The sequence below is a fragment of the Homo sapiens genome, chromosome 11 (assembly GCF_000001405.40).
Source record: "Homo sapiens chromosome 11, GRCh38.p14 Primary Assembly".
Taxonomy (NCBI): Eukaryota; Metazoa; Chordata; class Mammalia; order Primates; family Hominidae; genus Homo; species Homo sapiens.
The window spans coordinates 61256015-61277837 of NC_000011.10; the positions used below are offsets into that span (position 1 = coordinate 61256015).

The window sequence follows — 21823 nt, forward strand, 5'->3', positions numbered from 1 at the left end:
ATGGTGGCGTGTGCCTGTAATCCCAGCTACTCGGGAGGCTGAGGCAGGAGAATCGCTTGAACCTGGGAGGTGGAGGTTGCAGTGAGCCGAGATCATGTCACTGCACTCCAGGCTGGGTGACAAAGCAAGACTCTGTCTCAAAAAATAATAATAATAAGGGAGCAGAGACCTAATATCCCACAGCTAGTCCAGCTGAGCAAGGCTCCAACTTGAGATTCATTGGCTGCAGACCCCGCTCATGACCATGACCCTTTGTATCTTACTGGACAAAACGGCCTCTAAGTCCTTTGCCTCTCTAAACTGTTTGGTTTCCATGCTCCTATCTCCCACATTTATTATTCCTGCCACCAGCCGCAGGTTAGAGGCCAGGACTACACTGTCGTCTGGACTGGATACCAGGTTGCCTTTGCAGCCAGGAAACACTTCAGCAGACCCTTCGCCCTGGGACACAGAGTGAGTAGCAGGTCAGAGAAGGGCTCAGAAGAGGGCGGCCTCGGCAAAGCGATGGGCCATGCCCGGGGGTGCTTTCACTCCGCAGCCTCCATGGGTTTCAGTGGTAGCAAGTGTGGGGCTGCAGGCCCGTAATCCCAGTACTCAGGGAGGCTGAAGTGGGAGGATCGCTTGAGCCTAGGAGTTCAAGACCAGTCTGGGCAACACAGCGAGACCCTATTTCTACAAAATTTTTTTAAAAGTTAGACAGGCGTGGTGGCATGTGCCTCTAATCCCACCCACCCGGGAAGCTGGGGTGGGAGGAAGGCTTGAGCCCATGAGGTTGAGGCTGCAATGAGCCGTGATCATGCCACTACACTCCAGCCTGGATGACAGGGCAACATCCTGTCTCAAAAAAAAAAAAATGGTAGCAAGTGGTGACTTGGTGACAGAGCAGCTTCTGCTTTCCAGCCCCACATCACTTCCCTTATCACAAATCCGCATCCCCCCATTCATGACGGCACTGTCCTCTTTCCGTCTCTCATGCACACTGTGCTACACTGCCCAGATCCCCCCACTAGGACTGAAGGATCAGTCTCCCAGCTGCTGGGAAGGTGGTTGATAGCAGCTCTCTGGTCAATATGAGGCAGAAAGCCCTGCCCCGTAGCTCCAGCTCAGGACAGCTCCGAAGGGCCAGCCTAACCCCAGAGCTCCCAGAGGGGGCTGGCTGAGGCTTCGAGAAGGCCCAGCAGCCCCAACTCTCCCTCCCTGCTCCTTCCCCGCTGCCCACAGGTGTTCCTGCTGAAAACACGTCTTAAGAAACTGCTGGCCCGGCCCGGCGCGGTGGCTCAGGCCTGTCATCCCAGCACTCTGGGAGCCCAAGGTGGGCAGATCACCTGAGGTCAGGAGTTCGAGACCAGCCTAGCCAACATGGTGAAACCCCAACTCTACTAAAAATACAAAAAATTAGTCAGGTGTGGTGGCGGGCACCTGTAATCCCAGATACTCAGGAGGCTGAGGCAGGAGAGCCGCTTGAACCCAGGAGGCAGAGGTTGCAGTGAGCCAAGACCTTGCCATTGCACTCTAGCCTGGGCAACAAGAGCGAAACTCCATCTCAAAAAAGAAACTGCTGGTCTGTCATTTCGTCTCAGAGGTTCCTTCCCAGAAGCAAGTCCTCTCCATCATCTTTTCCCTTCTCACTGTGGAAGCCCCCCAGTGTCTGTATGGTATTCCATGGTGTACATACTATGCAGCCATAAAAAAGAATGAGATAATGTCCTTTGCAGGAACATGAATGGAGCTGGAGGCCATCATCCTTAGCAAAGTTACGCAGGAAGAGAAAACCAAATACCGCATGTTCTCATTTGTAAGTGGGAGCTAAATGATGAGAACACATGGACACATAGACACGAAAAGCACACACTGGGGTCTATGGAAGGGTGGAGGGAGGGTAGAGGGAGAGACTTAGGAAAAATAACTAATGGGTACTAAGCTTAATCCCTGGGTGATGAAATAATATAATCTGTATGACAAACCCCTGTGACACGAGTTTAACTATATAATAAACCTGCACATGTACCCCTGAACTTAAAATAAAAGTGAAAAAAAGAAAAAAGAAAACAGAAAAGAAAATCATGATCTTGGGGAAAAAAATAAAAAGAAGTCTCCCAATATAAAAGGCCGCCAAGTGCTTACAGGAGACCCTTCCCCAGCCCAGTCACAATTTGGTGCCAGCTTTTCTCCCCAGCAGTGGGGTAAAGGTGGATGCTCACTTACCACCTGTGGGCTTGGGGTCACGTTTCCCACCTTCCCACAGGTAAGCGGTGAATGAGCAGTGCAGCATGGGGAAACCGAGACAACCTTTAATCAGGAAACCTCAGAGAGACGCATGACACCTGGCGGTACAGTCCCAGTGAGTGGAATCCCAGCCGGACGCAACTCTTCCTCCAGGAGAACTTGGCAGTCCCAACCCTTCTCAAAAGATGAGCCAGCCACGCGGTCCAGGGAGGATGCTGACAGTGGAAACGACTTCCTCCATTCTTACAGCACATTCCAAACACTTCTTGGGAACAAGGTTACATCCAGCCTTGGGGGTCTTCCATCCTCACCAGGGCCCCTGCAGGAGGGAGCCCAGGCATCCCCACCAGGTTCATCCTTGGAGCTGCCCTGCACACACCCTGGGCCACTGGCAGAGGTCCTCTCTCCAGAGTCTCCCGGACACAGTGACCTCCTTACATGGTGGACTCTTCCCCCCGAGAAGCCCCCACTGGGGGCTGCTGGGGGCCAGGGTGGGTGGTGGCTGCAAGGGCTGTGGAGAGTCTAGAGGTGGTGGGAGAAAGCACGCGAGGCCCGAGGAGGGTGATGGGGGTCTTCGAGGGGCTGGGGTCCATCATGGAAAGTGCTGAAGCTTCCGTCAGGAGGGTGCCAGGCAGAGGAGGCCACCTGGACACTATCTGGGCCCCAGAGGCTGAGAACGAGCGCTCTGGAGTCACAGGAGGTGGCTGAGGAGCCCCTGGGGAAGCTAGAGGTAGAGTGGGGGCTCCTGGAGGGGTCGAAGGCCCTGGTGAGAGTCGAGGGGAGGCCCCAGGCTCCCCTGGGAAAGTGGCTGTCAGCCCCAAAGCGAGTGAGTGTGGACCATGAGCTCCTGCCGGGCTTGTAGGTAAAGTCTGTGTTTTCATCAAGTTCGTTCTTAAAAGGAGCTGGAGGAGATGAAGCACCGGCCTCGAGGGTGATGCTGTCGGGGGCCCAGGACAGGAGCTACAGTTGACAGGGGCCTCAGTGTCTCCATGCAGGCTCCGACCAGCTTTGCTGAATGCCACATTTCCGTGAGGGGAGAGCCCCTGCTTTTCTTCCAGAGGAGACAGGGAATCTAGAGAGACGAGGGTGAAACGAGATGCACAATGGCTCTCTCCAGTGGCCAAGGTGGCTCTGGGACAAGGTATACCAGGGACACCCAAGCTCTGTCCTCAGAGGGGCCTCAGCACACCTGGTGAGGACCAGCCAGCTCCTGCCTCCAGGAAGGGAAGACTGAAGGAGCCATGAACGGAGGGAGGCAGGCAGTTAGCTGTGTGACCTCACGCAAGGCATGCAACTCTCCTGGGCCTCTGTTTCCTCATCTGTAAAATGGGCACAGCAGTAAGGACTGAGTGTGAATGAAAGGGTGCACGGAGAGTCTCAGCCTAAACCTCAATGTGAACTATAGACATTGGATGTCAATGACATGTCAGTGTCAGTGTAGGATCACCGATTATAACAAACATGCCACGCTGGTATGGGGTGCTAATAGGGGGCAACGCTGTATCATGTGGAGTCTGAGGCATATGGGAACTCTCTGTACTTTCCACTCAATTTTGCCATGATCATCAAACTGCTCTAAAAAATAGTTTCTTTGAAGAATTTTTTAAAAAGTCTCAGCCTAGGGCCTGGCATATCATAAAGGCTCAGTACACAAGGAGAAAATAAACACAGATGCTCCTTGACTTACGATGGGGTCACGTCCCAATAAACCTGTAAATCAAAAATGCATTTCTGACCAAGCGCAGTGGCTCACGCCTGTAATCCCAACACTTTGAGAAGCCGAGGCGGCGGATCACCTGAGGTCAGGAGTTCAAAACCAGCCTGGTCAACATGGTGAAACCCCATCTCTACTAAAAATACAAAACTTAACCGGACGTGGTGGCGCGTGCCTGTAGTCCCAGCTACTCGGGAGGCTGAGGCGCGAGAATCACTTGAACCCAGGTGGCAGAGGTTGCAGTGAGCTGAGATCGTGCCACTGCACTCCAGCCTGGGAGACAGAGCAGGACTCCGTTTCACCAAAATTTAAAAAAAGGCTTTTTTTTGGGGTGGGGGGGACAGGTTCTCACTCACTTGTCCAGGCTGGAGTGCAGTGGTGCAAACATGGCTCACTGTACCCTCAACCTCCTGGGCTCAAGCGATCCTCCCATCTCGGCTGTCCTACTTGCTGGGGCCACAGTCACATGCTACCACACCTGGCATTCTGTTCTGTTCTGTTCTGTTCTGTTCTATTTTATTTTTGTAGAGACAGGATCCTACTTTGTTACCCAGGCTGGTCTCAAACTCCTGAGCTCAAGTGATCCTCCTGCCTTAGCCTCCCAAAGTGCCGGGGTTATAAGTGTGATCCACGGTGCCCAGCAAAAATGCATTTAATACAGCTCACTTCCTGAACACCACAGCTTACCCTGGCTGACCTTACACGTGTTCAGAACCCTTATACTGGCCCACAGTTGGGCAAAATCATCTAAGTAAATCCCTATTTTTTAATAAAGTGCTGAATATCCATGTGTCACATATTGATAACCCAGGAAAAGATCAAAATTCAAAATACAAAATACAGCAAAATTTTGATGGTTTCACATCATTGTAAAGTCAAAAAATCATTAAGATAAACCACCAGAAAGTCAGGAATCATCTGTGAAAGAAGGAAGAAGCTCAGCAAAAAGAAAATGAAGAGTGAAGAAGCAAAAAAAGAAAAAGTATCGGCCCAGGCGCAGTGGCTCATGCCCATAATCCCAGCATTTTGGGAGGCCATGGTGGACAGATCACTTGAGGTCAGGAGCTTGAGACCATCCTGGCCAACATGGTGAAACTCCATCTCTACTAAAAATACAAAAATTAGCAAGGTATGGTGGTGCCTGTAGTCCAGCCACTTGGTAGGCTGAGGCAGGAGAGTTGCTGGAAACCGGGAGGTGGAGGTTGCAGTGAGCCAAGATCATGCCACTGCACTCCAGCCTGGACAACAGAGAGAGACTCCATCTCAAAAAAAAAAAAGAAGAAAGAGTATCGAAGGTATGATCAAGGAAAAATCAGACGTTGTCAAGCACATAAAAAACTGGAATGATTATATTTTAAAAATCAACTATTCATATTAATAGATGGTTGCGTAACTCTAAAAATATGCTTAAAATGACTGAATCATACACTTTAAATGTGTGAATTGTATGACATATGAACTTTATCTTTAGAAAGCTGTTATACTTTTAAAAAAATCATCAAAAGAGGCTGGGCTCAGTGGCTCATGCCTGTAATCTCAACAGTTTGGGAGGCCAAGGCGGGACGATTGCTTGAGTCCAGGAGTTGGGACCAGCCTGGGCAACATAGCAAGACCTTGTCTCTAAAAAAAAAAAAGTAAAAAAATTAACCAAGTGTTTATCACTTCATGGGCTTGGAAATAAAACAAAAATAGAAACAAAAAATTAGCCAGGCAGGGTGGCATGCACCTGTAGTCCCAGCTACCTGTGAGACTGAAGTAGGAGGATTGCTTGAGCCCAGGGGTCGAGGCTGCAGTGAGCTGTGATCGCACCACTGCACTCCAGCCTGGGCAACAGAGTGAGACCCTGTCTCAAAAAAAAAAAAAAATCATCAAAAGAAAGCAATTCATATTCTACTTCAATAAAAAGTTGTTTTTCCTTAAAGGGAGCTCTTGTTAATAAGAGGTAGGTGGTAAACATAGTGTGCTTCAGGAGAAGGAGCTGGGCTCTGGAGGTTACCTCTTGGTTTTTGTTTTTGTTTGAGACAGAGTCTTGCTCTGTTGCCCAGGCTGGAGGGCAGGGCGCAGTCTCAGCTCACTGCAACCTCCATCTCCCAGGTTCAAGCAATTCTCCTGCCTCAGCCTCCCAAATAGCTGAGATTACAGGTGTGCACCAACATGCCCGGCTAATTTTTCTATTTTTAGTAGAGACAGGGTTTCACCATGTTGGACAGGCTGGTCTCAAACTCCTGGCCTCAGGCGATCCACCCACATCAGCCTCCCAAAGTGCTGGGATTACAGGCGTGAGCCACCACGCCAGACCTGGAGGTCACCTCTTTGGGTCTCAGTTTCCCCAGGTGGAGGTAGGAGGGCACGGTGGGAAAGAGGACAGGATAGGAAATAAGAGAGACCTAGGCTTAAGTCTTACACACCAACTAGAAACTTAACTTCTTTGAGCCTCCATTTCCCCACCTGCAAAATGGAGATAACATAGCAGCCACGCTGGAACACTCCATGAACATTTAAATGAGGTAATACATTTAAATAAGGTATAAAATGCTCAGTATGCTGCCTGGCACATTAGCTAGCAATCAGTCTCTAGACAGTCAGGGGACTAATATCCACTAGCATGCAGAGAGGTTTGTGGTGGTTACAATGAAGTACAATCTATAATGTCCCCAACATGATGGATTTGAAGGCTCAATGGATATTCCTGGCGCCACCCGCCCTAAAAGCTCATCATCCACAGATCTGAAGAGCTGCCCCCGAAAACAGAACATACTCTTCAAAAGGTCAAAGGAGTTAAACAAATATTTTATAAAAAAGGGAATTCAGGCCACCATCAGTGAAAAAAATTCCCTGTCTTCCTAGAAGTTTAAAAAACATAAAATAGATCCAGCAATCCCACTGCTGAGTATTTATCCAAAAGATTTAAAGTCAGTTTGGGGAAGAGAGCTGCAGTCCTGTGTTCACTGTGACACTATTCACAATAGCCAAGCTATGGAACCAACCTAAGCATCCATCAATAGTACTTCATTGTGTGCATATACCACATTTCTTTATCCAGAATGGAATACTATTTAGCCTTTTAAAAGAAGGAAATTACAGGCTCACGCCTGTAATCCCAGTGCCTTGGGAGGCCGAGGTGGGTGGATCACTTGAGGTCAGAAGTTCGAGAACAGCCTGACGAACATGGCGAAACCTTGTCTCTACTAAAAATACAAAAATTAGCCGGGCATGGTGGTGTGCGCCTATAATCCCAGCTACTCAGGAGGCTGAGGCAAGAGAACCACTTGAACCTGGGAGGCAAAGGTTGCAGTGAGCTGAGATCGCGCCACTGCACTCCAGCCTGGGTGACAGAGTGAGAATCCTCAAAAAAAAAAAAAAAAGGAAATTCTGTCATTTGCAACAACATGGATGAAACTGGAGGACATTATGCTAAGCGAAATAAGCCAGACACACAAAGACAACTATTGCAAAATCTCAGTTTTATGTGGAATCTAAAAAGGTTGAAGCCAAAGAAGCAGAGAATAGAATCGTGGTTACGAAGGCTGGCAGGGGCGAGGGGAATGGGGAGATGATTGTCAAAGGGTACACAATCTCAGCTAGACAGGAGAAATATGTGTTGTGTTGTGTTTTGTGTTGTTTAGAGACAGTGTCTCTCTGTGGCCCAGGCTGGAGTTCAGTGGCGTCAGTTCTTGGGAATCAATCCACTGTCCTATCTAAAAGCATCGACTCCAGTCTGAAACCCTGGCTCTACTACCAATCAGCTATGTGATCTTGAGCACAGCACTTCACCTGCCTGGGCCTGTTTTCTCACCTGGCACAGGAGGATGACAAGAGTATTGCAGGGGTGTAGACACATGAGGTGTCCCGGCACACCGTGGGTGCTCAACACATATTAGAGATTACTCTTCTGCAAAACGGACTCAGTTCCCATGTTGTAATTTAAAATAAAGAAGAAAGCATAGGAAGAGGTTAAGAAAGGGGATAAAGAAGAAAAAGGGAGTGCAGGCCGGGCGCAGTGGCTCACGCCTGTAATCCCAGCACTTTGGGAGGCTGAGGCGGGCGGATCACGAGGTGAGGAGATCGAGACCATCCTGGCTAACACGGTGAAACCCCATCTCTACTAAAAATACAAAAAAATTAGCCAGGCGTAGTGGCAGGCACCTGTAGTCCCAGCTACTCCGGAGGCTGAGGCAGGAGAATGGCGTGAACCCGGGAGGCGGAGCTTGCAGTGAGGTGAGATAGCGCCATTGCACTCCAGCCTGGGTGACAGAGGGAGACTCAGTCTCAAAAAAAAAAAAAAAAAAAAAAAAAAGCAGAAGAAGAAGAAAAAGGGAGTGCAAATAAACAGACATCATGGTGTGTGGCATCATGAGCACGGGATGAGGGTCAGCAGGCCACAGCACAGCTGTACAACCTTGCGCGAGCCGTGTTCCCTCTCTGAACATGGCTTTCTCTTATCCAGCCCTTTACAAGTTCTATGTACCGGGGAAGAAAAGTAAAATGGAAGAAGATGGCGGAGAAACTCCAGGACCCAGAGACCCACTTACCTGGACAGGAAGAGCAGCAGTCCCCAGGAAGCAGGGCAGGGTCGGCACAGGCCCGCTGGCAGGGAACCTTCTCACAGCTCACCTCTCCCAGCTGGGGAAGCAGAAGGAACCCCATGAGGAAGCCCAGAGCATCTTGCCTGCCCTGGGCAGTGCCCTCAAGGGCCTCTTGCACCAGCAGCAGGACCCACGGAAAGATCCCAGGACAGAGGCTGCAGTGCCTGAGCCCTCGCCTGGAGAACAGGTAAAGCCAGCTATGGCAGGACCCCCTTTGGGAAACCACTTCTCCCTCTGGACTTCCACAGAGGGAGGAGATGGTCAAAACCAAAGATATTCTGGCAGTTAATTAAAGGCGGAGGATGGCAGGAGGATGGATTTATGCTGGCTAAAGGGCTCCATGTTTTGCAAAGGGACAAAAGGCAAGAAGCTGCCCTCTGGCGGGGCCGCTCCTGGGTTCCCAGGCCCAGCTCACCTGGCACGTGCACCGGGTGCAGGGTTCATCATCCAAGGTGAACACCTGGCCATTCGCCACCTTCCTTCCCTCGTAGTTGCAGTCTGTGGAGGAAGGGGAGACAGGAGCCCATGAGAGCCGAGGCCTGGCCGGGAACCTGGCACGTGGGGCAGCTGGTCCCACTCACCTCGGCACACGGGGCAGCACTCCCCGTCAGGGTGGAAAGGGTAGGTACAGGTGATGGGGCAGTCCACGGGGGAACAGGCCACTGAGCCCAGCTGCAGGACACAGAAAACACACAAGGCCCTCGGTTCAGGGCAGCTGACAAGACACTCAGGAAGATGCCGCTCCTATAGCCACTGAGTGTCCATCAGAACAATCAACATTGTGGGAGGAGTCCATGGTGGGGCAGTGGGGCAGGGGGCGCATTTTCTCTGTTGGGGTCCAACTTCCCACTAGAATTCAAGCCCCTCGAAGGTAAGAACATGGACTTGTCCACGGAGGGCATCTGTTAACGGGTGCCTGTTGCATAAACTGCCCAGAAAAGATAAGCACCAAAACCCGATAGAGAAAGATCCAGGGGCCAAAGTTCCCCAAAGCCCGAGGCTGAGAACAACTAGGGCCTACGTGCAGTGGGTCACTCAGGGTAAGTAGCTCAGGGCTGTTTACCGTGAGTTTCTCAATCTTTCTGCAGACCGTGTCCCTTGTCACGCATGTACTCTGCTGAGGCTCACTGATCACCAAAGAAATACCGCATCTGCACCCACACCAGCAAAGCAGCGTCATCCCGCATTCAGGGCGTCAGCATGCTAAGCATGAAGAATTTTTTTACCCGGAGTGGTGGCTCACACCTGTAATCCCAACATTTTGGGAGGCTGAGGCAGGAGGATCATTTGAGGTCAGGAGTTCGAGACCAGCCTGGCCAACATGGCAAAACTCCGACTCTACTAAAAGCACAAAAATTAGCTGGGCGTGGTGGTGCGCACCTGTAATCCCAGCTACTCAGGAGGCTGAGACGGGAGAATCGTTTGAACCTGGGAGGCGGAGGTTGCAGTGAGCCAAGATTGTGCCACTGCACTCCAGCCTGGCGACAGAGTGAGACTCTGTCTCAAAAAAAAAAAAATAAAATAAAATAATTATTTTTTTCATCCAGGCATAGTGGCTCACACCTATAATCCAGCACTTTGGGAAGCTGAGGTAGGAGGATCACTTGAGGCCAGGAATTCAAGACCAGCCTAGGCAACAGAGCAAGATCCTGTCTCAGTATTTTTTTATGTAAAATTTTTTAGCTACATTTTTAAAAAAGCTAAAAACAAAATTTTTGGCTGGGTGCAGTGGCTCATGCCTGTAATCCCCAAACCTTGGGAGGCCAAGGTGCGAGGATTGCCTGAGCCCAGAAGTTCCATACCAGCCTGAGCAATACAACACGACCCCATCTCTATGAAAAGAATTTTTTAATTAGCCAGGTGTGGTGGTAATCCCAGCTGGGTGTGATCCCACCTACTTGGGAGGCTGACATAGGAGGATCGCTTGAGCCCAGGAGGTCAAGGTTGCAGTGAGCCAAGATCACGCTACTGCACTTCAACCTGGGTGACAGAGCAACACCCTGTCTCAAAAAAAAAACAATTTTTTTTTCATTTTCCAAAAACTAAATGATACTATGGGACATGCTTTTTCAGACTGAGAGGCAGTATGACCCAGGAGAAGAAATATGCATCTCAGAATCACAATACTAGGGTTCCATTCTCAGTACTTTGATTAACTAGTTACGGGATCTGAGCAAAGACTCTCTCTGTGCCTTGGTTTTCTCATCCAGAAGAATGAGATGATAAACTCTTGAATGGATTAGCTGAGTGCATGCCTATGAAGGGCGTGGCACACTGCAAGAGCTTGACCACATGGGTCTACTGAAAAGGTTCCAGTACTGGATTCTGGGTTTGTGCGTTTCACCTCCACCCTCATCAAGAATCCCTAAGACTCTCTCTAGGGGGTAACCCGGAAGCAGAGGACTTTGCCAGCCAGGTTTAAAAATATTTCTCTGGGCTGGGCATAGTGGCTCATGCCTGTAATCCCAACACTTTGGGAGGCTGAGGTGGGCAGATCACCTGAGGTCAGGAGTTCAGGAACGGCCTGGCCAACATGGCGAAATCCCGTCTCTACCAAAAATACAAAAATTAGCCAGGCGTGGTGGTGCATGCCTGTGGTCCCAGCTACTTGGGAGGCTGACACAGGAGAATCGCTTGAACTCGGGAAGCGGAGGTTGCAGTGAGCCAAGATCACACCACTGCACTCCAACCTGGGAGCCTGGGTGACAGAACAAGGCTCCATCTCAAAAACAAACAAAAAAAATTTCTCTGGCCCTGTCTAAAGGGTCACCCTGGGCAGGACTGGAGGGAGCTGACTTCCACCATGAACCAGAAGCATCCCTTGTCTTGGAGGTCTCTGGATTTTGCCTCTGGGATTCAGGAGCCGATGTCAGTTGTGGGGGAGTTTCCAGGGGCGGGAGTCAGATCTGGGTGGTCCATACCAGGCAGATGCAGCTCAGACATGGGTCCAGCACAGACGGGAAGGTCTCGTTGTTATAGAAGATTCTGCCTGTGTAGGTGCAGCCTGCCAGAGAGAGCATGCGCTGAGCACCAGCTGGGAGTGGCCAGGCACCAGGCTTCCCGCCAGGGCCAAGGTCACAGGCTTATCTGGATGGCAAAGGGGAGGCCATGTGCCTCCCCAGGCAGTCACCCTGGGAGTTAGGGAAGGGACAAAACGCCTGTTTGGATTGTCTGAATCGGGTATTGACTTTTTTCCCACTGGATTCAGCAAAAGGATCAAGTGTCTTGGCCTCAGTGTCCTCACCCTGAAGAGTGGGGAGATTCATCCTCTACCTCCTCACCAGGGGGGATCAGGTGGAAGAACTGGGAAATACGAGGTGTGTGTGAGGCCCCACAGCATCTTCCCAACCTCCTCTCTGCCCTCCAAACTCACTCAAACCACCAACCCCGCCTGTCCAGAACATTCCCCAACACTACTCCCCTCTCTGATTCCTGACAGCCCCAGAAGCCTGATGTGAGTGATGCCACCTTGGATGATACTATCATATACTGCTAAGTGTAAAAGCAGGTGATGAGACAGTAGGGGAAGCTTTAAAAAAATAAAATAAAATAAATAAATATATGTATGTTTATATATATATTATATATATAATGTACATCTACTAAATGTGTGTGAGCATCACAAAAAGAGACTAGAAGGACATAAACACAAATTTAACAGTGCTAATAGGTCCTTGCTAATATTCTTTATTTTTGCTTTCTGTACTTTTTTTCTAAATTTTCTATAATGGAGCTGGGTGCATTGGCTCATGCCTGTAATCCCAGCACTTTGGGAGGCCAAGGCAGGCAGATCACCTGAGGTTAGGAGATCGAGACCAGCCTGGCCAACATGGTGAAACCCCATCTCTACTAAAAATACAAAAATTAGCCAGGCATGGTGGTGGGCACCTGTGATCCCAGCTACTCAGAAGGCTGAGGCAGGAGAATCACTTGAACCCGGGAGGTGGAGGTTGCAGTGAGCTGAGATCACGCCACTGCACTCCGGCCTGGGTAAGAGAGCAAGGCTCTGTCTCAAAAAAATAAGATAAATTTTCTATAATAAAACATTACTTCTGAAATCATGGAAAAGGTAAAAATGACTATTAAAAGGCAAAAATGACTGTTAAAACTTCTCTCCTCCTGCTGTTCTCCAATTGTCTCACAGGTGCAGCTCCTGTACCACCCACCTGCACCGTAAGCCCTGCGTGTCTTCAGATCTGCCTCGAGCACTCAGAGGGGGCCTGACTTGGGTAAACTGTTCTACCTCAGTTTCCTTATCTGTGCAATGGGGTTGTCCCTTGGGGTTGTTAGGACGACATGAGATGAAGGCTGTATAGGGCTTAAGGAGCCCGATGCCTGAGATGCCCTGCCCTGGGGGCTTGGGGCAGAGGCAGGGGATTACCTGCTGAACAGTCTGGGCAGCACTGTCCAGGGATCCGGATCGGGTGAGGGCAGGAGTCCACACAGTCTGTCCTCTTGCAGCTCACCGAGCCATCTGCCTGGAGGAAGGAGGAACTTCACCAAGACCCCACCGGTGACACCGGCCCCTGCCTCCCCGCCCTGCAAAAGAAACAGCAACGCTGCAAACTGGCCAAGGCTTGCCCTGAAAGGCAACATGACGCGGCTGGAAGATGGCAGGTCTCCCCTAAAGAGGATCGGCTACTTGAGAAAGGCCATGTGAGCCTTCCAGGAAGTCTATGCATCTTTAAGGAGAAGGAAGGTCAGGGTTGGGATTCTGGTCTCCTCCGCTTCCTGTAGCAGCCAAAGCCTGCACCGTCACCACCATCCAAATCCTTTCTCAGCTTTTCCCTGGAACCCTGGCTCACCAGGAACCTACAGAGTACCATAAAACCCTATTTTTAGAAAAAACAATGCCACCAGAAGTGTCTATTTCAGAGAGCCAAAGTGCCATACAAGGTTTCTTTCTTTTTTTTTTTTTCTTTTTAAGACGGAGTCTCACTCTATTGCCAGGCTGGAGTGCAATGGCGCAATCTTGGCTCACTGCAAACTCCACCTCCCGGGCTTAAATGGTTCTCCTGCCTCAGCCTCCCGAGTAGCTGGGATTACAAGCATGCGCCACCACGCCAGGCTAATTTTTGTATATTTAGTAGAGATGGGGTTTCACCATGTTGGTCAGGCTCGTCTTGAACTCCTGACCTCAGATGATCCACCTGCCTTGGCCTCCCAAAGTGCTGGGATTACAGGTGTGAGCCACCGCAACCGGCCTCTTTTTCTTTAAAAGAAAAAAACACAAAAACAATCTGACAGTTTGAACCTTTTGTATCACTCTCTTGGTGACTGATTATGGGTGCCCGAAATCAGTCATAAAGGAGAAGACAGCACAGGAAGGACTTTCCTCCCAACTCTAATTTCAATGAGACGTGTTCAGCTTACAGCATTTTTTTTTTTTTTTTTTGAGACGGAGTCTCACTCTTTTGCCCAGACTGGAGTGCAGTGGCTCTATCTTGACTCACTGCAAGCTCCGCCTCCCGGGTTCACGCCATTCTCCTGCCTCAGCCTCCCGAGTAGCTGGGATTACAGGTGCCCGCCACCACGCCCAGCTAATTTTTTTTGTATTTTTAGTAGAGACAGGGTTTCACCATGTTAGCCAGGATGGTCTCAATCTCCTGACCTCATGATCCACCTGCCTCGGCCTCCCAAAGCGTTGGGATTACAGGCGTGAGCCACCGCGCCCGGCCCAGCTTACAGCTTTTTAACAAACGGCTCATCGAAGGCACTAGAAGGCTGGGCTTCTCCCACATGAAAGTGCACACAAATCACCTGGAGGTTAAAATGCAGTTTGTGAGAGCAGAGGTGTGGGCAGGGCCTCGAAAGGCTGCACGTCTAACCAGGGCTCCCAACGCAGGTGCAAGGGACCTCATTTTGAGAAATAAACCTCTAAAAGACTCGAAGCTCTTAAAGTAGAAAGGAAAGCCAGCATGTATTAGATTGGTGCAAAAGTAATTGCGGTTTCTGCCATTGTAAGTAATGGTAAAAAACTGCAATTACTAGTACTTCAATAATGAGCTAAAACAATTGTATTTCTGGGTGGATAGCTGTGTTTGCATTGTTGTTGATCTGACTCAAACTCATGCACCTCCTTACTCATTTCTGAAATGGTGAGGTCACATGTTTTGCAGTCATGAAGAAAACATTGCAATTTCACAGAAACAGCCTGAACAACTGGGTCTCAGGCTACCCCACTCCCTCAGTTATCCATGCCTGGGGAAAACCTTCTATGAAGATTCCTAATTCTTACTCCTCATGCCAGCAGCTCCCTGCACATGCACACTGTGTTACACACACTTTTTTTTTTTTTTTTTTTTGAAACAGGATCTTTCTCTTCTGCCCAGGCTGGAATGCAGTGATGTGATCACGGCTCACTGCAGCCTCGACCTCCTGGGTCAGCCTCAGGAGCTGAGGAAGCGATCCTCCCACCTTAGCCTCCCAAGTAGCTGGGACCACAGGGGCATGTCACTACATGCAGCTAATTTTTGTATTTTTTTGTAGAGACAGGGTCTCACCATGTTGCCCAGGCTGGTCTCAAATTCCTGGGCTCAAGCAATCTTCCCACCTCAGCTATGTTGGGATTATAGGCGTGAGCCACCACTCTTGGCCATACACACTTTTTTTTTCTTTTTTTTTGAGACTCCTTCTTGCTTTGTCGCCAGGCTGGGGTGCAGTGGCGTGATCTCAGCTCACTGCAACCTCCTCCTCCCGGGTTCAAACGATTCTCCTGCCTCAGCCTCCCAAGTAGCTGGGACCACAGGCACCTACCACCACGCTCGGCTAATATTTTGTATTTTTAGTAGAGACAGGGTTTCACCATGTTAGCCAGGATGGTCTCGATCTCCTGACCTTGTGATCCACCCACCTCGGCCTCCCAAAGTGCTGGGATTACAGGCGTGAGCCACCGCACCTGGCCAACAATACACACTTCTTAAGGCCAACTGCCAAGCACCATCGTCCTCACACATCTACTGAGAGCAGGATAAACTCGGTCCAACCCTTTTTGTGAAAGTGGAACTTGACAGCACCGGAGGGAGACTGCGGCCAGCCTGAGGCCAGCCTCTGGAGGGGCCAGGACGCTTGTCTCCTCTGGGTGAGGCGGGGCAGCCAGGTAAAGCAGCTGAAGGCGAGCAGGTTGTCATTCACCTGGCAGATGCATAACTCACAGGGGTCACCAGGCGACCAGATCTGTCCAATCGGAAACTCAACCCCGTTGTCGTCAAGAGAGCAGCCTGGATGAGGACAATGGCAGAGAAAAGACGGCACAAGACCTAGACTACAACAGCAGCAAGGACAGATGCCTCATGCGCACAAACACACACAGACACCGATATCACTCACACACGGACACACAAACTTACACACACTCATACAAATGCACACTTACACAGATACAATTCACACAGATACACATACACTCATACAAATGCACACTTAAATATACATGTACACACAGATACCATTCATGCACAGAGACATACACATACCGATACAAATGTACATTTGCATACACACACAGATACAACAGACACACATGCTGATACAAATGTACATTTGCATACACACACAGATACAACACAGACACACATGCACACAGACACACACATACTCATACAAATGCACATTTACATACACACACAGATACAACACAGACACACATGCACACAGACACACACATACTCATACAAATGCACATTTACATACACACACAGATACAACTCACACAGACACACACTCATACAAATACACTTACATACACATACATATGCTCAGACACACACACACAGATACTACTCAGAGAGACACAAACTTACACACAGACACACTCATAGAATCATACACTTACATGCACATACACACATACAGACATGCATGCTCACACAGGCACACACAAAAACACAAAAACAGACACATAACATACATACCACAGAGACACACTCATACTACACAAAACATACACATACATGCTCATACACAAAGACACATGTACACAGACTCCCACAGATACCATTAACACACTGACACACACACACAGAAAACTATTCAGAAACACAGAAACACACACACACAGGCACATACTAAGACATACTACACAAAACACAGATACACACTCGTACACAGGCAAAGACACATGTACACAAATTTACACACATTCATACAAATGCACACATACACATACATGCTCACACAGACGCACACTACTCACACACAGACACACAAACTTACTCTCACGCAGACACACTCATACAAACATACACTTACATGCACACACACATATGCAGACACAACAGACACAAAGATGCATGCTCACCCAGGCACACACAAAAACACAGACACATACACACACACCCACAGAGAGACACATAGACATACTACACAAAACACAGACACACACTCATATACATAAATACAAAGACACACATACGCAGGTACCACTAACACACCAACACACAGATAACCACTCACAAACTCAGAGACACACAAACTTACACACACAGGTACACACTCAGACACACTACACAAAAACTCACACTCATACACACGCACACAAAGACACATGTACACACACACACAAACAGCACACACACCAGCAGTCTCAGCAGCAGGTGAAGCTCAGCCTCTCTCCCCAGTATCCATGCCCTGTGTCGGGGCAGCCCTGGACCAGCTCACCTGTCGAGGGTGTGGGCTCCTGGCAGGTGAAGCAACACTGCCCAGGGCCCAGCCGCCACTCTTCTCGGGGGCAGGCCAGCTCAGGGCAGGGCATGAAGGAGCACTCCACCTCCCCATTCTGGAAGAGAGCCCAGGCACAGAATGATGAGGGCGGCACCCTGCCTGGGGACCATGGAGAGCTAGAGGAGGCCGCAGGCTGCCTGCCATCACCCTCCCGGCTACTCAAGTGAAACTGACAAAGAAATCTACTAAAGTGAAACTGACAAAGAAATCTCCAAGGAGCACAACAGTGGGGTGGGGGGAACTGGGAGTCCTTCAATGGGGGCTGGGTGTGAGCCCAGGAGGGCATCCTGGGAATAGGCACGGCCTTCACCATCTCTCACCCTCCCGCTTCCATCCAGGCTCCCTACTGCCTAAACCATTTGGCAGCTTCACTGAGTGCAAAGCCCTCAATGCAGCTGGTGGAGCCCTTCAGGACTGAGTCAGGGGCAGAGGCTGTCAGTGCCCACCCAGGTCCTGTCTCCGAAGTACTGCCAGTGGCTGACGGCAGCTGCGTCCTCCAGAGATGCCTAGATGGTCACCACCCCCACTCCCTGGGGAGCAGAGAGAGTCTCTATAACTGACTGGCCCTGAGGTGCAAGAGCCTTGCTCCCCAGCACGGTCCACTGCCCAGAGCTTCCCAGGGATCAGTGTGAGACCACACCTTCACCCTGCTTCCTCTCCTGCCCCACCCTTCTTCCCTCGCCAGTTTCTTCTGAGAGCACTCCCTTGGTAAGTCGCCTGCACTGGCCCTGCTTCTAGGGAACACAACCCAAGATGCAACCCCTACCTGCAGCCTTGCCGCCTGCCTGACTCTCTCCATGCTCCAGGCAGAACGGCCATCTCCAATCCTCCACCCTCTGCTGGGTACAGCAACCTCAGCTCCCCACCTGATGAGTCCCTACCACCCTCCAGGTCTCTACTTAACATCCCGCCTTCCAAAAAGGCATCAGGAGCCCTGGGCACCCGGCCATCAACCCACCTAGGCAGTGGGCTTCCGGACCAAGGGGACTGGGGCTTCCTTGTGCTTAGCTGTGTCCCCAGCACACAGTAGGTGCTCTGTAAATAGCAGTGTTGAAAGATGAAGTTCAAAGAGACTGTGGGAAGACCTGGGGGATCCCTGTAGTGCCTTTGCTTCCTCAGTTTCCCTGTTGCTGTATGACAACTCATGTTCTCCTAGTCATGTCAACCTGAGTAAAGTGTTGTGCCTCGCTCCCCTCTCCATCAATTCCACAGGCTTTGGGACGCTCAGCCACCATACCTGGCAAACACAGGTGGTACACTCGTCACCACCCCCACTGAACACAGCCCCGTCTGCGTACCACCGGCCGTGGAAATAGCATCTCACTGCAGAGGAGAAAGGGAGAAGCAACTCAAGGTCTTTGGGCAGAGGCAGCTAAAGAAAGGGGGGAACAAATGGGTAGGGAGCCCCGGGGCACTTAACACACACCCACAACACTCCACAGCATGCTCCGTGCCCAGGAACCCAAAGCACTTCTCCCCCTCCAAACCCCAGACACAAAACAAGTCATGCCGACAAAGGGGTGGGTGTGGCAGTTCATGTCTGTAATCCCAACATTCTGGGAGGCCAAGGTGGGAGGATCTCTTGCAGCCAGGAGTTTGAGACCAGTCTGGTCAAAACAGCGAGACCCCATCTCTACAAAAACTTTAAAAAATTAGCTGAGTGCAGCAGTGCGTGCCTGTTGTCCTAGCTAATCAGGAGGCTGAGGCAGGAGGATGGCTTGAAACCAGGGGTTGAGGTTATAGTGATTGCACCTCTCTACTACAGCCTGAGCGACAGAGCAAGACCCCATGTCAACAACAACAAAAAAGTCTGACAAAGAATGAGTCACATGTAAGATGAGGTCCTCAGCCAAAAAGGCAGGGGAAGCCCTAAATAACTAAAAAGTAACAGAAAAAAAGAAATAAAAAGAGACTGTCCAACACCTAAGACAAAGGTGCTACCTTAGACAAATGATGCTACCACCCCCTGGAGGCTGTGAGAATTTGGGGAGAGGCTTTGATTTGAAGATCCACTCCAGCGAAAAAACAGCCTTAGAAACTGCCCAGGCCCACCTGCCAGTAGTCAGACTGCCCTGGGCTCAAATCCGAGCTATACAACTCACCAGGGAATGACTTTGGGCAACACACTTAAAGCTCTCTAAGCCTCAGTTTTCTCATCTGTACAATGGGACCGATAAGGGTTCCTATCTCACAGAGACTACACTGACTATGCAAAAGTAAGTCAATTAAAAATAATGTAACATTTAAACATTAAGAAAAAAAACACTTAAAAAGAACACCAGCTTTGAAATCAGGTAGACTTGAATTCAAGTTCGGCTCCATTACTTAATGGTTGTGTGTCTTTAGGCAGTGACTTGAACTTTCCAAGCTTCAGTGTTCCCATCTATAAAATGGGGCAATAAATAGTACTGCCTTACAGTGGTGACATAAAGGGTTCCATGAGATGGAGTTCTGGTAAGCGCCCCACACAGCAAGGGGCACAGAGTCAGCAGGGAACATCCATGACAGCAATGAAGCCATCCCAGGAAAGAAAACCTTGTTTTTAACAAAGGACCAACTCATTAGTGGCTAAGGAGAGACCCTTCCCTGCCCTGGGACAGAGCAATGACAAGGGTGGACTGAAACTCCATCCTGCCTGAGCTGAAGGTGCCTCCTAAGGCAGGGGAAAGCTGGGCTGTGAGCACAGTCTAGCCTCAAACTGCTGTGCACATAAGTGCACAATAAAAACAGGCACTTTGAAATGCTTCACTTGATCTGAGTTTGTAAAGCAGAAAGCAATCTCCTCCCTCACTCCTCCACTCACCCCACTCCATCGCATACTCAAAAGACATGCTCCCCTACACACACAAAGAAGCAAAATGTAAAACTGAGCTCGGGGGCTCATGCCTGTCATCCCAGCACTTTGGGAGGCCAAGGCAGGTGGATCACCTGAGGTCAGGAGTTCAAGACCAGCCAGGCCAACATGGTGAAACCCCATCTCTACTAAAAATACAAAAATTAGCCCAGTGTGGCAGCAGGCGCCTGTAATCCCAGCTACTCCCTACTCCGGAGGCTCAGGCAGGAGAATCACTTGAACCTGGGAGGCGGAGGTTGCAGTGAGCTAAGATCATGCCACTGCACTCCAGCCTGGAAAGCAAGTCTCCCTCTCAAAAAAAAAAAAGGAGCAAAATGCAAAACTGGGCTTGGGGGCTCATGCCTGTCATCCCAGCACTTTGAGAGGCTGAAGCAGGAGGACCACCTGAGGCTCAACACCAGCCTGGGCAACATAGTGAGGTCTACAAAAAATCTAAAAAAAAAAAAAAAAGCAAAATGCTCCAAGAGTGTCACTTACCTGGAACACAAGTACAGCAATCCGTCTGTGGGGGGGTCTGACAGGGGCCAGAAGGACACTCAGGAGAGATGCAGGACACGTTTCCAGCCTGAGGAGGAGGCAAGAGAGGGCACTGGGGGTGCGGGTGTGGAACAGGGTTCATTCCCCATCTCACAGCAGGCCCTTCGAACAGGAAAGCTGCCTAAAGGAGGCCACAAGAAACCTTTAAAGGCTGCACCCCAGCCTGGGCAACAAAATGAGATGCCATCAGTAAGAAAAGAAAAGAGGAGAGGAAAGGAGAGAGGAGGGATGGGGGGAGGGGGAGGGAGAGGAGAGGAGAAAGGGAGGAGGAGAGGAGAGGAGAAGACAGGGAAGGGGAGGGGAGGGGAGGGGAAGGGCAGGAGAGGAGAGGGGCAGGATAGGAGACAGAGGAAGGAAGGAGGGAGGGAGGGAAGGAAGGAGAGAGGGAGGGAAGGAAGGGAGGGAGGGAGGGATGGAGGGAAGGGAGAGAGGAAGGAAGAGAGAAACAGAGAAGTGAGAGAGAAAGAAAGAGAGAGAAAGAGAAGAAAGAAACAAGAAAGAAAAAGAGAGAAAAAAGGAGGGAGGGAGGGAGGGAGGGAACTTGACTGCTGTGCTTTCATGTAGCACACAGGAAGAGTTCGATAAGGGGTGCTGGTGGTTGTCTGCATGCCCCTGATTTCACACTGCAGCATCCACCTTTGATGCCAGAGCAAGAGACACTTAAAGATGGTCATGACCCGGTGCAGTGGCTCATCCCTGTAATCCCAGCATTTTGGGAGGCCAAGGTGGGAGGATCGCTTGAGCCCAGGAATTTGAGACCAGCCTGGCCAACACAGCGAGACCCTGCCTCTACAAAAAAAAAAAAAAAAAATTAGCCGGGTGTAATGGCATGAGCCTGTGGTCTCAGCTACCTGGGAGACTGAGATGGGAGGATCGCTTGAGCCCGAGGCTGCAATGAGCTATGACTGCACCACTATACTCCAGCCTGGGCAACAGAGCAAGACACTGTCTCTAAAACAAAAAATAAAGATGGTCAGAGGGTGGCAGTGAGGGCTGGTAGACAGAGCCCTGACTTTGGGCTCAGACAGACCTCAAATCCCAGCTCTGCCACCTCCCACCCTCTGTCTTTTCATCTGCAGAATAGGGGCAGTAAAGCTGACCCCGAAGAGCTGCTGGGAGCCTCGGTGAAGAAAGAGATGAGAAGCACCAACCCTGGGCCTGGCACTCAGTAGATGCTCCTAATCA

General features: G+C 50.2%; 1 protein-coding gene across 12 annotated transcripts in view, besides 1 other annotated feature; it reads right to left on the reverse strand.

Annotated features, from left to right (window-relative positions):
• Positions 1 to 2271: 2271 nt before the first annotated feature.
• The window catches only part of VWCE (von Willebrand factor C and EGF domains), a 37031-nt gene continuing 17479 nt past the window's right edge, over positions 2272 to 21823 (reverse strand). For 5 of the 12 annotated variants that reach the window (XM_047426552.1, XM_017017342.2, XM_017017341.1 and 2 more), the window contains 10 exons: positions 20579 to 20666; positions 18485 to 18570; positions 17185 to 17302; positions 15661 to 15746; positions 12908 to 13004; positions 11448 to 11530; positions 9108 to 9198; positions 8942 to 9024; positions 8473 to 8563; positions 2272 to 3298 (listed from right to left, as the gene is read on the reverse strand). In XM_047426552.1, coding sequence (XP_047282508.1) covers positions 2661 to 3298; positions 8473 to 8563; positions 8942 to 9024; positions 9108 to 9198; positions 11448 to 11530; positions 12908 to 13004; positions 15661 to 15746; positions 17185 to 17302; positions 18485 to 18570; positions 20579 to 20666 — 1461 coding nt within the window. In that variant the 3' untranslated portion in view covers positions 2272 to 2660. Of the gene's footprint in view, positions 3299 to 8472; positions 8564 to 8941; positions 9025 to 9107; positions 9199 to 11447; positions 11531 to 12907; positions 13005 to 15660; positions 15747 to 17184; positions 17303 to 18484; positions 18571 to 20578; positions 20667 to 21823 lie in introns of those variants that run through there. The other 7 variants (XM_047426550.1, XM_006718460.1, XM_047426551.1 and 4 more) reach the window with 5 other exon arrangements.
• Positions 10302 to 11501: an enhancer, noted in NCBI's record as "CDK7 strongly-dependent group 2 enhancer chr11:61033788-61034987 (GRCh37/hg19 assembly coordinates)". NCBI's record gives its function as "activates an origin of replication core promoter dependent on BRD2, BRD4, P300/CBP, MED14 and CDK7 cofactors, with strong dependence on CDK7, by STARR-seq in HCT116 cells {active_cell/tissue: HCT116}" and the evidence as "EXISTENCE:reporter gene assay evidence [ECO:0000049][PMID:35650434]".